The sequence below is a fragment of the Homo sapiens genome, chromosome 2, assembly GCF_000001405.40.
Source record: "Homo sapiens chromosome 2, GRCh38.p14 Primary Assembly".
NCBI classification, from domain to species: Eukaryota; Metazoa; Chordata; class Mammalia; order Primates; family Hominidae; genus Homo; species Homo sapiens.
This window is the reverse complement of record NC_000002.12, coordinates 10,481,812-10,501,009: the sequence shown is the minus strand read 5'-3', so window position 1 is coordinate 10,501,009 and position 19,198 is coordinate 10,481,812. Positions and strand designations below refer to the sequence as shown.

General features: G+C 48.6%; 7 annotated features.

The window, feature by feature from the left end:
- Window positions 2,925–3,457: an enhancer, noted in NCBI's record as "H3K4me1 hESC enhancer chr2:10637679-10638211 (GRCh37/hg19 assembly coordinates)". NCBI's record gives its function as "activates a minimal SCP1, AML or CMV promoter by ChIP-STARR-seq in naive H9 embryonic stem cells {active_cell/tissue: H9 hESC(naive)}" and the evidence as "EXISTENCE:reporter gene assay evidence [ECO:0000049][PMID:30033119]".
- Window positions 7,109–7,248: an enhancer, noted in NCBI's record as "active region_15308". NCBI's record gives its function as "activates an Ori minimal core promoter by ATAC-STARR-seq in GM12878 lymphoblastoid cells {active_cell/tissue: GM12878}" and the evidence as "EXISTENCE:reporter gene assay evidence [ECO:0000049][PMID:35858748]".
- Window positions 7,299–7,408: an enhancer, noted in NCBI's record as "active region_15307". NCBI's record gives its function as "activates an Ori minimal core promoter by ATAC-STARR-seq in GM12878 lymphoblastoid cells {active_cell/tissue: GM12878}" and the evidence as "EXISTENCE:reporter gene assay evidence [ECO:0000049][PMID:35858748]".
- Window positions 7,419–7,468: an enhancer, noted in NCBI's record as "active region_15306". NCBI's record gives its function as "activates an Ori minimal core promoter by ATAC-STARR-seq in GM12878 lymphoblastoid cells {active_cell/tissue: GM12878}" and the evidence as "EXISTENCE:reporter gene assay evidence [ECO:0000049][PMID:35858748]".
- Window positions 7,489–7,548: an enhancer, noted in NCBI's record as "active region_15305". NCBI's record gives its function as "activates an Ori minimal core promoter by ATAC-STARR-seq in GM12878 lymphoblastoid cells {active_cell/tissue: GM12878}" and the evidence as "EXISTENCE:reporter gene assay evidence [ECO:0000049][PMID:35858748]".
- Window positions 12,855–13,363: an enhancer, noted in NCBI's record as "H3K4me1 hESC enhancer chr2:10627773-10628281 (GRCh37/hg19 assembly coordinates)". NCBI's record gives its function as "activates a minimal SCP1, AML or CMV promoter by ChIP-STARR-seq in naive H9 embryonic stem cells {active_cell/tissue: H9 hESC(naive)}" and the evidence as "EXISTENCE:reporter gene assay evidence [ECO:0000049][PMID:30033119]".
- Window positions 13,364–13,874: an enhancer, noted in NCBI's record as "H3K4me1 hESC enhancer chr2:10627262-10627772 (GRCh37/hg19 assembly coordinates)". NCBI's record gives its function as "activates a minimal SCP1, AML or CMV promoter by ChIP-STARR-seq in naive H9 embryonic stem cells {active_cell/tissue: H9 hESC(naive)}" and the evidence as "EXISTENCE:reporter gene assay evidence [ECO:0000049][PMID:30033119]".

Genomic DNA, 19,198 nt, shown 5'->3' with positions numbered 1-19,198 from the left:
CCCTGGCGTCTCTGTGTGTTTGTCACAGACACAACAGAAGAGCTGGGAGGAAGGAAGGAGGCGTTGACTTGTTGGGGCTGGGGCTCTGCCAGGTCTGTGGGGACTCGGAGACAGAAACGTTGCTGCCCTGGAGGGAGGGAAGAGTCTCCACTCAGAGGTTTGGAGTCTCCACTCAGGGCTGTGACTAATGAGGTGCTCACCATACAGGCCTGGCTCCCTCCCGGGCTCGTGAGTCCCCGGGGCTGGGTAGGAGAGGAAAGTTAATTGAGCATCTAATAGCGAACAGGTCCCGTGCCAAATAATAATAATTAACTTTTATTGAGCTCTGTGCTTGGCGCTCCTGAGCTCATCACAGGAACTATCTCATTTAAGGTTCACGGCAACCCTATGAGAGAAGTGCCACTCCACATTACAGCTGGGGAAACTGAGGCACGCTGAAGTTAAGTGATATGGCCGAGGCTGCACCACCAGGATTGGAACCCAGCAGCTGAGCACCCTCATGCCAGTCCTGCACTTGTGATGCTACTGTTCACGTGTGCTGATGGGGGCACGATGCACCCAAGGTCCCCATGGTGGTTCCTAAACAGAGCGGCCAGAGTCCCCACCTAGGCCTGGATGCACACTGGGCCCTGCCACATTCACCTGTGTCCTCCACATCGGCCCAGGCCAGGGGAGACTGGGTGGCCAGAAAGAAGGCCGTCCATCCGCACACACCGGTGTACATCTGTACAGGTGTTCAGCCCCCTCGAGGGGTTTTTGCTTACAGTGATGAGCCTGCTGATTGTCAGGCCAGTATCAGAGAGACCCCTGGTCCCAGGCCTCCTCTAGTTGCAGAATCTTGGAGGCTGGGCAGCGGCAGCTCTGCCCGCTGGTGCGGAAGCATGACCCTATTGTAACGACCAGTGCAGACGAGCTGGTACTCTCCAGCCACAGACCGGCTGGCTGCCCTTCCACTTCTGCCGCAGACTCTGTGCTCACTGCCTGGAGCCATGGGGTGGCCAGAGTGGCTGGAAGCTTGGCCAGGGCCAAGGAATTGCCTGCGGCTCCCATGCAAACCAGCTGGAGTGGGGTGACAACTCCTGGGAGCACTGGCTTCTTTCCTGAGCTGCAGAACTGCCTCACTCCATCCTTCACTTCCTTCTTCAGGGTCTGGCTGGCCCTCTGGGCTCCTGGACGCACTTAAGAACTGAATACGGTGATTTCCTTTGCATGTTACAGGATGTTAATATAGTGGCTTAATGCAGTAACCTAATGGGTTTGTCAAACAAATCAGAATCCTGAGTTTTATCCCTGGAAAGTCCCCTAGCCATTATGCAATCCAGACTAACTTGGCCTGAACAGGTGGCTAGCCAGCCCTTGCTTAAATACCTCCCATGACGGCAACCTCACTACATGTAAGGCAGACTCTTTCACTTCTCAACGGCTCTTGCTGGAAAATTTAAAATCTACCCTTAGCAGTGTACGCCAGTACCTAGAACAATGGTTATCCTTTTCCGCAGAACATTTCAAGTACTAGAAATCAGGACTCACGTGGCCGACTGGAGGAGTGGCTTCCACCTTGAGTGCTGCCCGCCCAGCCCTCCCCCCGCACAGTGCAGGACCAGCCTCCTACCCGTTCCATCCACTGAGTTTGATCAGGCCATTGGCTCCAGCTCACAGTTCTCCTGGGCTCTTGGCTCACTCACCGTTTCCTAAGAGCTTTTCCGGCCTCCTTTTAAGACGAGAAACATCTATTTTAGTTCATAGAGTTTATCAAACACCCCATGAAGGTGACCTCACCCTGTGAGACCTTTGCTGGTAGAGGGAGTATGTATGGCCTGGGAGAGAGAGTGCGTGGTTAGGACGCCAAGGGCCAGGTGGTACCGTCTACCAGCCATTGGTCAGGAACGTAGCTAGGGGTGTCTGGCCAGGGACTCCCCACTTGCTAAGCTGTGTGCCCTGGTCGGGGGCTGCATCTTCCCAGAGGCGTGCCTTCAAATTCACACAAAGCAACTGTAAGAGCTAGATCCAGCCTTGCTTGGGGGAGTCAAATGGTCTGTTTGAGCCTCAGTTTCCTTACCTGTAAAACAAGGATAATAACAGTGGAGGGACCAAGGAAGTGCTCAGAAATATTTGGGGTTTTTTTGTTTGTTTTTCTTGTTTTGAGATGGAGTCTCTCTTGGTTGCCCAGGCTGGAGTACAGTGGCAAGATCTCGGCTCACTGCAACCTCTGCTTCCGGAATTCAAGTGATTCTCCTGCCTCAGCCTCCTGAATAGCTGGGATTACAAGCATGTGCCACCACGCCCGGTTAAGTTTTGTATGTTTGGTAGAGATGAGGTTTCACCATGTTGGCCAGGCTGGTCCCGAACTCCTGACCTCAAGTGATTCTCCCACCTCAGCCTCCCAAAGTGCTGGGATTACACTCATGAGCCACCATGCCTGGCCAGAAGTGCTTAGAAATATTTGAATGAATGGATGAATGAATGAATGATGCCCATCTTACTGGGCTGTCATGAGACTTAACACTGCACCTGCGACCCCATAGGTACTCAACAAAGGATCACTTTCTCATTTTACCTCCTTCTCCTTCTTAGGTCAAAAGAAGCAACTCCTGCTGCATTTGCCCTTCCTCAGGCACTGGGGACCTGGGTCTGTCTTGAATTTCCTTCTCTCTCTACACCAAGCTCTATGCCAGGAGCATCCACTGCAGTACACGCGCCCCCCACTCGTCCCCCCTAGGTCCAAGGTGAAGATGAAGGGCAGGTGACTGCGCGTGGAGGTCGAGGAGTGGCTGGTGGGCCTCTGGACCTGGCCGGCTGTCTTGGCCGTGGGCTGGGGGAGGAGCTGTGCTGTCTCCATGCCCCTCCCGCAGCAGAGGCGATTCAAAGCCATGACAGAGGAGGAGAGTGAGTCGCCTGCCACCCAGCAGCTGCAGCAGGCCTGTTACATCACAGCCCACACACCCGGCTGCCTGTCACCCACCCAGACAACGCCCCGGCCCGGCCCCGGCACGGCCCGTGTGCGCGGTGACTCATTGTTGCCGCCTCTTCCAAACAGCTGGCGGGCCCTGTCTTGCCGTGGCCGGCTGGCACCTTGGGCTCCTGTTCTTAGCAGGATCATTGCAGGGAATGTGGTGTGCACAGCCTCACCGTCTCCCAAAGTGAGGTGGCCCAGGGTGCTCGGCATCCACGGGCTCCTACGACCAGCGCCAGGTGCCCAAGATCAGCCTCAGACCGTCACTGGTTAAATGACACCTGCGGGCCGTGCAGTTAAACAGCTCTGCCACCTACTAGCAGAGACTCTGGACACATTTCCTAGTGTCTGAGCCTCAGTTTTAGCTGCTGTAAAATGGGAATAATAATGACACCTACTTCTGGCAGTGTCTTAAGATAATGCTTATGAAGCCCTCAGTGCCACATGCTTGATGCAGAATAAGAAATTAATAATAAAATAGTGCAATCGCTTTCGTAATGTTGGACTGTTCTATGTTTTTATTTATTTCTTTCTTATTTAGTAGAGACAGGGTCTCACTACATTGTCCTAGCTGATCTCGAACTCCCGGGTTCAAGTGATCCTCCTGCCTCAGCCTCCCAAAGTGCTGGGATTACAGGTGTGAGCTACCACACCCAGCCCTGTTCTTTTCATTTACTAGTGGTCAAAGCCACTGCCAATGCTCTTTGCAATGATACATGGCAGCATGGAGAAGAGAAAGAAACAGCATAATCTTTGAAGTATAAACATACTAAATGAGTTGAGGATCACCGGTTGGGGGATTACTGGTGGGAAAGATGAAACAAAAGTGGCAAAGCGTGAAGGTTATTAAAGCTGGGTGGGAAGCATGCGGGTTCATTATACTATTTGCTCTTTGTTTGTGTTTACTGTTTACGTTGTGTACGTTTGACATTTCCATAACAAAACAGTTAAATAAAATCATGGTGTCTGCGAGGCAGACCGATTGACTCTGGACATGCCCTCACTCACTGGCCAAAGTGGGGCAGGTTTCACAGCAATCTTAATGAGGACTTATTCTCTGCCAGGCTGGGAAATCAAAACTGAGGGCAAGGGGGGGCCCAGCCCTGCACAATGCTTCCGGTTCAATGTGAGGGGGATGCATAACATCTCTTTTGGAGATAAGCTCAAAAGAGGGGTCTTCCGAGAGGGAGGGTGTCTGCATGGTCTGAAGCCAAGGTCAGGGCAGGCAAGCATAGAGGCAGGAGGGACATTTCAGAGTGGAGCCCCCTGGCACTTGCACACGGCCTGAGAAGTTCTGGACTCAGGGTGCCGTGTGACGCCAGAGGTGGCAGATGACAAAGGTGGGTGGGTGGCAGGTGGCAGGTAGCAGGTGGTAGTAATGCCAGCCTATGTAGCTAGGCATTCACTTGGGGGCTGAGAAAGAGCCCCAGGAGGCTCAAACAGGTGACAGAATGGCTTGCGGTCAGACTCGTGCTTTAGTAAGTTCATTTTGTCGGGCGCGGTGGCTCACGCCTATAATCCCAGCACTTTGGGAGGCCGAGGCAGGTGGATTGCCTGAGGTCAGGAGTTTGACCGGCCTGGCCAACACGGTGAAACCCTGTTTCTACTAAAAAAAAATACAAAAATTAGCTGGGCGTGGTGGCAGGTGCCTGTAATCCCAGCTGCTCAGGAGGCTGAGGCAGGAGAATTGCTTGAACCTGGGAGGCGGAGTTTGCAGTGAGCCGAGATCATGCCATTACACTCTGGCCTGGGCCGGAGAGAGCAAGACTTCGTCTCAAAAAAAAGAAAAGAAAAGAAAAGAAAGTTCATTTCACAGCGTGGGGACCAGGGTTGGGTGGGCCGGGAGGTCGGATAAGATTCAGAAAGTGAAATTGGCAGGACTAGGGTGGGATCAGATGGAGGTGGGAGCAGGACTCTGGACCAACCCCCAGTTCGATTTGCAGAATCTGAATGTAGGGAGGGAAAATGTAGGATGCACCCCCAAGGCTGAAGGGCTGAAAGCAAAGCTCCCGGGGACCTGCTGTCAGGACTTTCCAGGAGGCTGATGTGCAAGGTTCAGCCATGGCTGGAAATGGGGGTTCGGGTTGTGAACGTGGAGGTGACAGCCGGGGAGCAAGTGGGTCATTCAAGAAGAACCTTGACAGAGGAACAGAGGGCAGTCAACGGCACCCCATCATAAAGGGGGGTGGGATGGGAAGGGGAGAGCCACACCGTGGAAGCAGCATGGAAGAGAGGGTCAGGAGGCGGGCGTGCCTGCAGGATGGGGCCGGGGCACAGGGCGTTTGCTCAGCAGATCTGGCAGCAGAGCCATCGCCGGAGGTGCTGCCCAGGGAGGGCTTATTTAGGATGGGCTGAGTTTACCGGCAGAGGGGTAAAGCCGATGAGAAGATAAGATATAGGAAAGGGCAAAGCACTGAGGAGTGGGCTGTGAGCAGGAGCTGGAGGGTCTGGGAGTGCGGGGATCCCCGGTGGCTTGTGCAGGATGAGCAAACGAAGACTCCGCATCTTCACGTGCAGCACAGGGTAAGACGGCTTCCTCAGAGTGTGCAGGGAGTGACTGAAACAGAAGCACACTCAGCTTCAAAGGGCCGAGCATATCAAGTGTAGGTGAGGATGGAGAGCAACTGGAGCCCTCAGCCGCTGCTGGCGGGTGTGGAGAGGTATAACCGCTCTGGAGAACAGTCAGGTCCAATCTACACCTGGCCTATAACCCAGCCACATTCCACTCCCGAGTGTTTACCAAGACATGAAAGCTTATGTCCATGCAAAGACTGGTACACGGATGTTCCCAGAAGTTTTATTTGCAGTAGCCCCAACTAGAAACAACCTAAATGCCCATCAACAGACAGATGGGTAAGAAATTGTGGTCAAGACACGCAGAAGGATAATACTCTAAAGGACAGAAGGAAGAAAAGAAGGAAGGGAGGAAGGAGGGCGGAAGTGAGGGAAGGAGGGATGGAGGGAGAGAAGGAAGGAAGGAAAGAAGGAAGGAAGGAGGGAGGGAGGGAGGGAAGGAAGGAGGGAGGGAAGGAGGGAGAGAGAGAGGGAGGGAGGGAGAGGGAGGGAGGGAGAGGGAGGGAGGGAAAGAAGGAAGGAAGCAGGGAGGGAATATCCCCACCCATAGCGGGGAGGCTGACTTTGCCTAACTCTGCACCCAGAGGAAACCCCTCTGGAGGACAGTGGGCAAATCCCATCCCTCTTGCCCTTCCGTGACCGGCATGTGGCAGGCACGGGGAGCCTTGTTAACCACGGTGACTGATGACGCAGATGTGGGACAAGCAGGGAACGCCAGTGCTGGGCTCCCAGGTGGGGAAGCAGCTCCCTCCTGCGGCCTGCCCCTCACCTGGCCCACCTGCAAGGCTCTGTGGCCAGTTGGGCCCCTTCCCCAGCAGCTAAGTGGATGCAACCCTGGTGGGGTTTTACCCCAGCCTGGCTGGCCCTTGCCCTCGACTGCTCTTCCTTGGGAACTGCTGTTGTGCCTCTGGTGTGGATTGGTCCTGGCCCGCCCCAGCCCTGGCCTCCCCGACTGGCTTCCGAAGACATGTCTGTGACCTGTGATCCATAGGGGCAGGCTCAGCTCATGGGGTTTTGATCCAGCTGCTGGACTTCCATGGCCCACGTCTGGAAAAGGCCCTGGCTGTCCACCCACAGCCCCATCCTTCTGCAGAGCCCCCACCCCTCTTGTCCTGACTGTGGGGCCCACCCATGTGGCCAACATCAGGTCCGAAGACCTGGGTTCTGTTCCCAGCTCCACCAATTCTAAGTTGGCATTCACGAACTTAGAACAGACACGTCACCTCTGTGAGCCTCAGTTTCCTTGCTAGGTCATTGCTGAGCGGGGGGCACGGCCACTCACGGAGGGCCATTGCGTGGTGGTAAGGTACACATGTACGGAAGGGAGGGTGACTCTTAGACAGCACCAGCCTCAGTCCACAGGCACTGGCCTCAGTCCACAGTCTTATTGTGCCAAGGGTCGGTCTCCGTGACTCTCACCGTGGCAGCCTGCACGCTGTTAGAAGCTGGACTCATCTACTTTGGATTGTAGCCAGCTCTAAGGGTCTCATTTGTGACGTGTGTGTGTTCTAGAGACAGCTTGAGTCCACAGCACAGTCCCTCATTCTGCAAAAGCAAAGCTGGCTCAGCCTCACTGCCTCCCTGGATGGCTTATGGGTGAATCAGTGGGACGGTTTACAGGTGCTGTTGAGTAACCATCCTCTCGGGGGGTTCCCCTCGCTCCAGGATGTGGCATGCAGAAAGCTGCCGCCCCGGCATGAGCCTGGCCCCAGCGTCATCGCCCAAGTTGTGTAAATAGCCAGCCAGTGAGGCATGCAAAGGGTAGGGGCTGCTGAGGCAGAGGCTTCCGGGGAGAGGTGGCACAGGGCCGGGGGCGAGAAGCGCTGAGGCTCCTGGAACTGTGACTGGTGGTTCCCACGCAGGGCCAGGCTCTCCAAGGGCCAGTTCTCATATTTGGTTGTTGATGTTTGGGTATGGAAATGTCAGCCCAGGGAAAGGCAGGCTTGCCTCCTAATGGACAGAGTTGTTGCCAGGGATGAGACACCTGCTTCCTTGTGGTTAAAGGGCTTGGCACCTGGGAGGCGGCACAAGACTTAGGCCTAGGAGGATCATTCATGATCAGCTGGGTCAGCAAATCCTTGACTGAGCACCTACTATACGCTCATGAGTGTGTCTCTGAATCCATTGTAAAATTACAGGGTTTTAGGGTCAGAAAGGACTCATAGTCATCTAGTCAATCCTGCCTTCCAAAGCCTGTGTGTGAACAATCTCTCCAGTAGCTCTCCTGGGCAGTGGCACAATCTCTGCTTTGTTAAATACTCCCAGCGATGTGGAACTCACTGCCACTGGAAGTAGCTAGTGCTGTCTCATAGCAGCTTTTTTTTTTTTTCTTTTTTTGAGACAGAGCTTCCCTCTTGTTGCCCAGGCTGGAGTGCAATGGCACGATCTCAGCTCACTGCAACCTCCACCTCCTGGGTTCAAGCGATTCTCCTGCCTCAGCCTCCTAAGTAGCTGGGATTATAGGTGCCTGCCATCATGCCCAGATAATTTTTTGTATTTTTAGTAGAGATGGGGTTTCACTATATTGGCCAGGCTGGTATCAAACTCCTGACCTCAGGCAATCCACCCACCTTGGCCTCCCAAAGTGCTGGGATTACTGGTGTGAGCCACCGTGCCGAGCCAGCAGCTTCTTATTCTAAGGAAGGATTTTCCATACCCAAGAGTTTTGATGGAGCCTACAGAGCCGCAGGTTCCTCATCTACCTGCCAGTCCTCCAGGTGTTTCAACACAAAGCCAGTGCTGCTGCTTCTCCCTCTCACTGTCCTTGTCAATTGAGATATAATTTATATACCATAAAAGTGCTTTTAATGGGTACCGGTCCATGGCTTTAGAATATATTCACAAGGTGCTGCAACCATCACCATGATGTGATTCCAGATATTTTCATCGCCCCCAAAAGAAACTCCTCACCACTACCTCCACCCCAGCTCCTGGAAACCAGTGACCTACCTCCTGGTCTATAGATTTGCCTATTCTGGACATTTCATACAAATGGAATCACAAAATATGTGGCCTTTTGTGTCTGGCTTCTTTTGCTCAGCATAATATTTTCAAGGTTTATCCATGTTGTAGCAAGTATCAGTACTTCATTCCTTTTCATTGCCAAATAATATTCCATTGGATTGATCGACCACATTTTTTAATGCATTAATCAGTTGATGGACATTTGAGTTGCTTTTACATCTTGGCTATTATCAATAATGCTGCTGTGGATGTTTGTGTACACATTTTTGTGTGAACCTGTGTTTTTAAGAATGGCATTTTTGGCCAAGTGCAGTGGCTCACACCTGTCTCCTGCCTCAGCCTCCTCAGTAGCTGGGATTACAAGGGTTCACCACCACGCCCAGCTAATTTTTGTATTTTTAGTAGAGAGAGGTTTCACCATGTTGGCCAGGCTGGTCTCAAACACCTAACCTCAGGCAATCCACCCACCTTGGCCTCCCAAAGTGCTGGGATTACAGGTGTGAGCCATCATGCCTGGCCAGTATTACATCTTAAATGTAAGCTATCACTTAATCTAAGATCACATAGATTTATACCTAAGTTTTCTTCTAAGAGTTTTATAGTTTTAGCTCTAACATTTAAAAATTTTTTATCTTTTTTTGAATTTTTAAAATATGGTGTGAGGTAGGGGTCCAACTTCATTCTTTTGTGTGTGGCTATTCAGTTGCCTCAGCAACATTTCTTGAAGACTGTTCTTTTCCCCATTAAGTTGTCTTGGCAGTCTTGTTGAAAATCAATTGTTCATACACATATGAGTTTATTTCTGGATTCTCAATTCTATTCCATTGATCTATATGCCTATATTTAAGCCAGTACCAGACTGTCTTGATTATAATCACTTTGTAGTAGGTTTTAAAATTGGGAACTGTGAGTCCTCCAACTTTGCTCTTCTTTACCAATATTGTGTTGGTTATTTTGAGGCCTTTGAATTTCCATATGAATTTCAGAATCAGTTTGGTCAATTTCTGTAAAAGGGCCATCCTGATTTTGATAGAGAGTACAATGAATTTGTAGATCAATTTAGGAAGTATTGCCAGATTAACAATTAAGTCTTCCAATCCGTAAGCATGGGGTGTCTTCCTCTTTATTTAAGTCTTGTTTAATTTCTTTCAGCAATGTTCTCCCTTTCACTCTTGCCACTCCCAGCCTTTTCCTTCCAGCAAAACAACTGTAGTTCCCTGAGGGAACACGCAGGACATGGGGACAAGCCCCTCAGCCTCCAGCTGCTCCTCTGAACTTGCTCCTTGTTGTCCATGTCTCTCTTACAGGGTGGGGCCAAGAACCCCTGAGCACTGAGCTCTGAGTCTGGCCTTGATGTTGGGGGAAGACGACTGCCCCCTGGGGCTCCCCCATCCCTTCAGACACCATGCAGGCCTCAGGTAACCCACTGCTCCTGGCCCCAGCATGCCGATGCGGCATTTCCCTGTCTGTTTCCCTCAGGACACTGTGAACTCATTTGAGGCAGTGACCCAGGCTCAGCCAGCTCTGCACCTCTGGAGCGTAATTCCAGGGCTTCTATTAATGTTTGTGGAACAAGGCAACTTCCTTGTTCTGGATCTAGATAACACTGAACTTTGCCTGTGAGTACACTTGAGGCTGACTGCTCCATGACACGGCAGATCTTATGACAGATCCCGGGAATAAAAATCCCTCTCTCAGCCGGGCTCAGTGGCTCATGCCTGTAATCCCAGCACTTCAGGAGGCCAAGGTAGGTGGATCACCTGAAGTCAGGAATTCAAAGACCAGCCTGGCCAACATGGTAAAACCCCATCTCTACTAAAAATACAAAAAATTAGCCAGGCATGGTGGTGCATGCCTGTAGTCCCAGCTACTCGGGATGCTGAGGCAGGAGAATCGCTTGAACCCAGGAGGTGAAGGTTGCAGTAAGCCAACATTGCGCCACAGTACTCCAGTCTGGGCGACAGAGTGAGACTCCATCTCAAAAAACAAAACTAAGAATAATAAATAAATCAATAAATATCCCTCTCTCTTTGGAAACCCAGCATTCTGTGCATTATTGGAGATTTCACCCACTCTTCTCTTTACTCCACGGTCAGCTTCGAACTGTGCTGACCCAGGATGCAGCGCCCACCCTAAATGTTTGAATGGGGGCTTTGCTGGCCTTATGAATCCCCAGAGGCTCAGAGCCAGAACGCTTCAGAAGCGATAAGTAATAACAACACTACTCTCGTCTCCTGGGGACTGAGTTTTAAATTAAACGTTTTGTTTGGGTGGTGTCTTCCAAAGCCTGCAGGCAATGTGTAGAACTTTCTGGTAGGAGTTGCAAACAGTGAGAACCATGACTCAGTCACCCGAGAGACTCGAGGGAACATCAGGGTGCTGTTTCTGAGACTCTGGATCGCACGAGACAGAAGTAATCAGAAGTTTCCCAGTGGATAGAAACAAGAGCAGTCAGAATAGAAGAAATCAGACATGTTGTGAAATAGATCCAGACCCTGAATGCATGCAAGCTCCCTGGAAGAGCTGTGAACCCTCTGAAATTCTGCCCACGCCGTCCTGCTAGAGGCTGTCACAGAGGCCATCCAGGGAATCTTTGTTGGCTGAGACAGCCAGCTCCCTATGGCTTACCTAGATGCCACAGTGGGTATGTCACATTCACTGCTGATTGATGCAAAGTGAGGCTGGTTCTCTGCCTGCATGTTGCCAGAGTGATTGCCCTCACCTTCCAGAAATTCCAAAGCAGGTGCAGCTGCACAGCCTGGTGCTGGTCCTGCATTCTGGGTGCATCTTACTTTCTTAGAGCAGGCACCATAGAAATCTGATTTTCAAAAACTGATTCTGTTCTGTGTGAAACTGCTCTCAAATGTTTATTGAAGGCATTTGAGAACCTGTGACCAGGTTTTAAAACAGGATTAAAAAAAAAAAAAAAGCATCTTCACACCAAGATGCTTTTTGCAATCCCACCAGCTCCAAAATAAAGGCCTAAAGATACAGATAAGGTTGGGCAAGCCGGGCGCGGTGGCTCAAGCCTATAATCCCAGCACTTTGGGAGGCCGAGGCGGGTGGATCACGAGGTCAGGAGATCGAGACCATCCTGGCTAACACGGTGAAACCCCGTCTCTACTAAAAATACAAAAAAAATTAGCCGGGTGCGGTGGCAGGCGCCTGTAGTCCCAGCTATTCGGGAGGCTGAGGCAGGAGAATGGTGTGAACCCGGGAGGTGGAGCTTGCAGTGAGCCGAGATCGCACCACTGCACTCTAGCCTGGGCGACAGAGCGAGACTCCGTCTCAAAAAAAAAAAAAAAAAAAAAAAAGGTTGGGCATATTCAATATAAATGGCCCAGGAAGATCCCCTGGCAGCCCTGCCGATGCTACGTGTTCCGGAATTCCTATTGCCATTTTCGCACTCACACTTTAATAGGTGCAGACAACTGAGAATCTCAGATCCTGAACTACAGAGGCTCAAACAAACAGGTAAGCTGAGGAAATGTCTATGTGGGGGTGGGGGACACGGGGAATCATTCTTACTGGGTTCTGAAAGGAATGCTAATTCCACCCACGAAACAAGAAACAGATGGTATAGAAAAGGAACATTCAGAAAATAGAAAACAGTTCTTGAGAGTTAAAAACTTGAGAGCAGAAATGAAACAGTCAGCAGAAGGACTAGAACACTGAGTTGAAGAATTCTAGGAAGTAGAGCAAAAAGGTAAAGTGAAGGCATAGATGGAAAAAGACAAGAAATGGAAGGTCCCACCAGGAGGCCCAACTTTTTTAAAAAAGGGCATTCCAGAAAGAGGAGAAAACAAGAGAGGAAATAAACAACGAAATCGTTCACGAACATTTTCTCAAACTACAGGGCATGAATGTCCACAATGGAAAGGGCCCTGAGTTCCAGCTCAGCAGACCAAAATAGATGAGTGACCAAGCCTTTCTCCTGAGTCGGTGGCTTGATTAATTTCTATTTCTCTTAAAAGTTGTAAGCAGTCATTTTTCTCCTGAAATGTGAAGGCAGCTCTAGAGGCCTCAGAGAGTCATTGTTGGTTCTAGCAGGTGAGAAATCTTGGCAGGTGGAAATGGAGATGAGAAGCCTCCATGAATGGAAGTGGGGGTGAGAGGCCTCAGCAGGTGGAACTGGAGGTGAGAAGCCTCGGCGGGTGGAACTGGAGGTGAGAAGCCTCGGTGGGTGGAACTGGAGGTGAGAAGCCTCGGTGGGTGGAACTGGAGGTGAGAAGCCTCGGTGGGTGGAACTGGAGGTGAGAAGCCTCGGTGGGTGGAATTGGAGGTGAGAAGCCTCGGTAGGTGGAACTGGAGGTGAGAAGCGTTGGTGGATAGAATTGGAGGTGAGAAGTCTTGGCAGGTGGAACTGGAGGTGAGAAGCCTCCATGAATGGAAGTGGGGGTGAGAGGCCTCACCAGGTGGAACTGGAGGTGAGAAGCCTCGGTGAGTGGAACTGGAGGTGAGAAGCCTCGGTGGGTGGAACTGGAGGTGAGAAGCCTCGGTGGGTGGAATTGGAGGTGAGAAGCCTCAGTGGGTGGAACTGGAGGTGAGAAGCCTCGGTGGGTGGAACTGGAGGTGAGAAGCCTCTGTGGGTGGAATTGGAGGTGAGAAGCCTTGGTGGATAGATTTGGAGGTGAGAAGCCTAGGCAGGTGGAACTGGAGGTGAGAAGCCTCTGTGGGTGGAATTGGAGGTGAGAAGTCTCGGCAGGTGGAATTGGAGCTGAAAAGCCTCAGCAGATGGAATTGGAGGCAGCTCCTGAGGATGCCCTGTGTCTGGTGCAGCTGCACAGCCAGGGTATGGACTGTGTGTGCCCCCACAGCTCCGTGCCTAATCAGTGATCTGCTTACCAAAGTGGGCAAGGGGCCCTGGGAGTGAGGCCAGCCAGAAAACCGGAATCAGATGAGGGGCCTGAGCCCCCTGCTAACTCTCCCTGGGGAGCCGGAGGAAAGAACTGGCTCCAGGAACAGGCGCAGAGAGGGAAGCCAGGCATCGGGGGTTGTGGCAGACAGGGACCTCCAGGGCTGCCTCAGGTGGAGGTAGGTGCTTTCAACGCATTTCAGCTAAAAGAACAGGTAATCCCACAGCATCATTCTCCCCTTGACCTTTCAAAGCCCCTAATCTGATGGCATACCTGTATGTGGATCACTGACGATGCTTTTCAAGGTTGAGCAATTTGTTCATATTTACTCTGTGGTTGGGTGTGAAAACACCAGGTCAAGGATAACATCGCGGCTGTTTGTTCGCCTCATGGGAGAAGGAGCTGAGGGCCTTTCTGCAAGCACAGGATTGATGGTGATCCTGAGTCACGAACAGGCAAATGGGAGAGGCTTTTGAATTGGGGCGTTAGGGAGAAGCTTGAGTTATGTAATAGAAGCATGGTGAGCTGTCCTTGATACGATTACCACTCTCAGTAATTATTATTATTTGACCTACGCAGACAAATCCAATTAAATAAGAATTGTTTTGCAATCGAATTGTTCGGAGGACAGCAGAGAGCTCCCTCTGCATGGTGAGAAAATTCCCCTGGGTTTGCACTACATTCGGTGGTTTCTCAAGCAGCCCCACCTATATGGCTGCTTTTAGATTTTGATCCACAAAACCAAATGTGTGAAGAAGGCCAGGCATGATTCCCCCCATTTTGTGACCAAGGGGTTTGAGGCTCAGAGAGGCCAAGTGACTTGCCCAGGGTCACACAGCATGAACAGAACACAGGCAGGGCTGGGTGGGTCTCCTAGCCTCCATTTCAGACTTTGCTCTGCCAGTGCTGGCTAGGCTCCAGCAGCATTGTTAGGCGGCATTGTCCTGGGTGGGAGGAGCAGCAGGTGCTGGAAAGCACAGGAACTTCAGATTAAATAAAATATTGTAATGCTGGTTCCCATAACGGGCCCCATGGGATGTTGGTGAATCCTGGGTCCTGTCCTCAAGCCGTGCAAAGCCTGTGAGGCTCAACCCTCCACTGAACTCCAAGCAGGCTGTGCTGGGAGAGCCCTGGACACTTTGTGCCTGTAAAAGCGACTCAAGATTCTTGTTACTGGCATTCCAAAATGTAAATGTGCTTTTTCTCCTGATTATAACAGCACGGCAAGTTCATTGGAAAATTTCTGAAAATACAGAAAACTATGAGTAATAATATAAAAATCACCCAAACTTCTATTAACATTATATACAGTATTTCCTTTCTGTGGTTTGTCATGTATAGATGAGTATTTCTTGTTTTAAAGACTAGGTTGATGCTATACATGGTTTTGTATACTGAGGGGTTTTTTTCACTTTAACTTACTTCATGATTCTCTTACCATGATGCTAGTCATTGAATATATAATATTTTCAATAATACACTATTCCATCATATGCAAAAAGCCTTTTGCTTAGTTTTTGTCTTTGAAAAACCACAGACATGAATTAAAATCAGAAAGAATGAGTGACAGACTATATGCAGGTGCACATTTACAAGCATAAAAGTATCTTCTTCAAAAACAAAGGGAAAACAATTTTTGAAAAATCACACATGCATGTGGGCGCGCACACACACACACACACACACACACACACACACACTCCAATTAAGCCTAAAAGACATTTGACAAAATGTAACATCTTTTCTTTAAAAACCTCTATGATAGATTATGGAAACGATTTGGAAATATAAGGCATTCACCAAGAACCAACAGAGGATATTTTTCTAAAGAGTGAAACTCTAGAACCAGTTCATTTAAATCAGGAACTGTACAAGGGTGATAATATGACCATTATTATTATTGAATATTGTCGTGGTTCCAGCGAATGCAATAACATCAAAAGCCTATAAAACCATTTTGAGACCTTGGAAAACAAGAAATAAATTTGTCTATTTTTGTGGATGATATGACTATGCACTTAGAAAACTCAAGAGATTAGTAAAAGTAACTAGAAATTATCAATGAGTATTGGTGACATTGCTAGATACTAGATAATTAGACAAATTATACAAATACTGACAGCTTCTGTCTATTCTAGTCATAAGCAACTAAAATGGAAAAAAGTGTATTTACAATAGCAACCAAAGCTATGAAGTGTTCAGAAATAAAATGTAACAAGAAAGAATAATGTCCTATGTAAACTCTAATTGGATGGCATAAAGCAGACTGAATGAAGAGAAAGCTTGGATGGGAATGCATATGTTTAACTTAAAGTACCCCTCCTAGAATTAATGTATAAAGTTAATGCAACTTCAAATAGAATTCTGATGGAGTACTTTTTTCTTTTATTTATATATTATATACTTAATATATATATTATATTATATATTTTTTCTTTTATGCACATATTTTATAGAGATGGGGCTCTCACTTTGTTGCTCGGGTTGGTCTCAAACTCCTGGCCTCAAGCAATCCTCTTACCTCAGCCTCCCAAAGTGCTGGGATTACAAGTGTAAACCCTAATACCTGGCCAAGTATTTTTTAAGAGGCAGAGAATTGGATAAAATTATCATAAAGCTTGTTGGGGAAAATTAATTCCTAAGAAATAAAACCTTTTGAAATAGAATCATTGGGGGAATTTGCATTTTCAGATCAAGACATGCCCGAAAGCCACTCTATTCAAAGTAACAGACTGTTGGCATTGGAATAGAAAGCTAGTTCTAGAACCAAACAGAGAAAGCAGAAATAGATCCCAGTACATTTAAGATTCTAACACATGAAGAAGATGTTCTTTTTCACTAATGGGAAAAGATAGATTACTTGGTCCTCAATCTTACAATTTATAAAATGATGGATTTTGACAAAGACATCAATAGCAAGACAGTAAAGATTTCTTTCCTTTTTTCTGTTTTTAAAGATTACTTAATAATTTAATGGTAGGGAAAACTCTCTTAACTCAGAAGTTTTTTTTTTTGAAGACAGACATATTTGTTGACATTAAGCCATTTAAAATTGTTTATAGCAAAAGATACAATAAACAAGGTGCTAGTTACAAACACTTGCAACTCAGAGGCCAGTGGCTTCATGTCTTGTATGCAAAGAAAGAGCTCTTACAAATTAGTAAGAGACAATCACCCAGTTAAAAAACGGGCCAAGGATCTAGAGAAGCAATTCACCAAAGGGCAAACCCAAATGACTAACAAAAATTTCTAAAGATTCTCTGCAATTTAAAATAGTGGTCAGATTTTTCTTTTTTTTCTTTTTCTTTTTTTTTTTTTTTTGAGACTGAATCTTGCTCTGTCTCCCAGGCTGGAGTGCAGTGGCCCAATCTTGGCTCACTGCAACCTCCACCATCTGGATTCAAGCGATTCTCGTGCCTCAGCCTCCCGAGTAGCTGGGACTACAGGTGCAGGCTGCCACACCCAGCTAAGTTTTGTACTTTTAGTAGAGACTGGGTTTCACCATGTTGACCAGGCTGGTCTCAAACTCCTGACCTCAAGTGATCTACCTGCCTCGGCCTCCCAGAGTGCTGGGATTGGAGGCGTGAGCCACCACACCTGGCCCAGATGATTCTTTACAAGTGTAAAACTACCAAAATTTAAAAACAGCAATAACATGTTTTGTTCTTGGGGTATGGGGAAATGAGTACTCATTTACTGGTTACAGCTTACTTGAGAGTATTGAGAGTCAATCTGGCAATACCTGTTAGAATAATAACCCTTCAGATCCGCAAAAATCCTTTTCCTGGGAAACGAACACATAGACACAAAAGCATCCATACATAAGGCTTGATATTCAAGGATTGTAGCCCTGGAAAACTGTGGGAACAAAGTGAATACCTATCAACGAGAGGGTTGAATAAAGTACAGTAATTCTCACCTTAGACTTAATTATGTAGCCATTTAAAAGAATGAATTTGAGTTACGATTGTTGACTTCATTGAGAAAACTAAGATGCAAAGAACTGTATAAGGTATGATCTGACTTTTGCAAACGATGTGATGAAAACCATATATATTTTTGTATATTATTATATGAGCAAAGAGACATATACATGGGGTTGTTAGTATGGATGTCTTGGGGAAGCTGCTGTATGTGGAAGTGGGAAGGTGTATGAAGGGATGGTGGAAACAGGAAAAGAAAAAAAAATACCACTCCCAAAAGGAAAATGAACCAAAGGGAAGAGTGGGTCTGTGTGTGTTTGGTCCAGACCCAGGGGAATCCTGTGAGATCTGCCATGTGTGTCAATAAAGATATAGCATGGAGGCATTCCTCCCATACCTCGCCGAGTATTTTTTAAGAGGCAGAGAATTGAATAAAATTATCCAATTTTATCCAAAATTTTATCTGCTTTTATCCAAAGCGTGTGATAAGACACACGTTTATCACTTGTGCTTAAAGTGACTCAGAGCTAGTAAGCAAAATTACTCCTGTTTTACGTCTTCAGAGACAGGAAAATCCTATCACGTGAAAATCTCACCATGTCCTCTCTGACATAATAAAAAACATATATGTTGATCTCTGCCCCCAGTCCCTGGCACAGAGCTCCTAAAAACCTTGTAATTTCTTGAGCAAGAAGTGTGCTAGGAGAATTTTTTGTTCTAACATTTGGTCTCTGCCCCGGTTTTTGAGACAGAGCTCCTGAAACCTTTGTAGATAGGGGTGCTCGGAGAATCTTTGGTTCTAATATTCGGTCTTTGATCCTGGTGCCTGACACAGAGCTCCTAAATCCCTTGGAATTTCCTGGATGATAGGAACTTTTTTTTTTTTTCTAATGAAGTGACTCTTGGTGGACTCCTGGCCAGGAGAACGGTCACTGGAAATCCCAAGCCCTGATGAGAGGCTTGGAGCTTTCAGCTCCATCCCGCATTCACCAGAGAAAGAGAGGAGCTGGAAGCCAGGTTAATAATCAATCATGCTTATGTTGAAACTGCCATGAAAACCCCAGAACTCTGGGGCTCGGAGAGTCTCTGGATTGCTGAACACATGGGGGGCGTTAGAGGGCGGGGCGTGTGCCCACAGAGGGCATGGAAGCTCCACACCTCTTCCCACAGGCGTGTGTCACGCATCCTTTCCCTCTGGCTGCTCACCTGTATCACCTGTGACACCCTTTATAATAAATCAGTAAATGTAAGCATTTCCCTGAGATCTGTGAGCCATCCTAGCAAATTAGTCAAACCTGAGGAGGGGGACTGTGGAACCCCCAATGTACAGCCAGTCAGTCAGGAACACGAGTCATACACCAGGGCTTGTGATTGGCGTCTGAAGAGGGGACAGCCTTGTGGGACGGAGCCCTTCGCCTGTGGGATCCGACGCTACCTCCAGGCGACAGTGTCAGAACTGAGTGGCATTATAGAAACCCAGTTGGGGTCTGTTGAAGAATTGCTTGGTGTGTGGGAAAAAAAAAACTCACACATCTGGTGTCAGAAGAGTGGTGTTGAGTGTATAAGAAAGGCACTTCAGGTTTCCTATCCTTACATCCTCCCTCATATGAGTGATGGAATACCGTGTTCCACTACCTGCCCTGGCACAAGCCCTTTCCTGGAGAGCTTCCCCATAATGCCTCCTGCCCAAAGTGCCCACCGGCATCAGGTAGCTCATCACGGCAGCTGAGCTGGGCCAACTGGGTTCAGGGTGCGTGTCAGTCAAGGAGACCCAAGGGCCAGTCATTTGGTAATGGTGAGCTCTTGCGCTGAATGGCCACGTGGAGTTAGGGCTGAGGCAGCAAGATTGCTGAGAGTGGCCTAAGAGAAGGGGCAGTGGTGCTGTTGACAGCCACCATGCATCCCCGGAGAGAGACAAAGAGAATGGC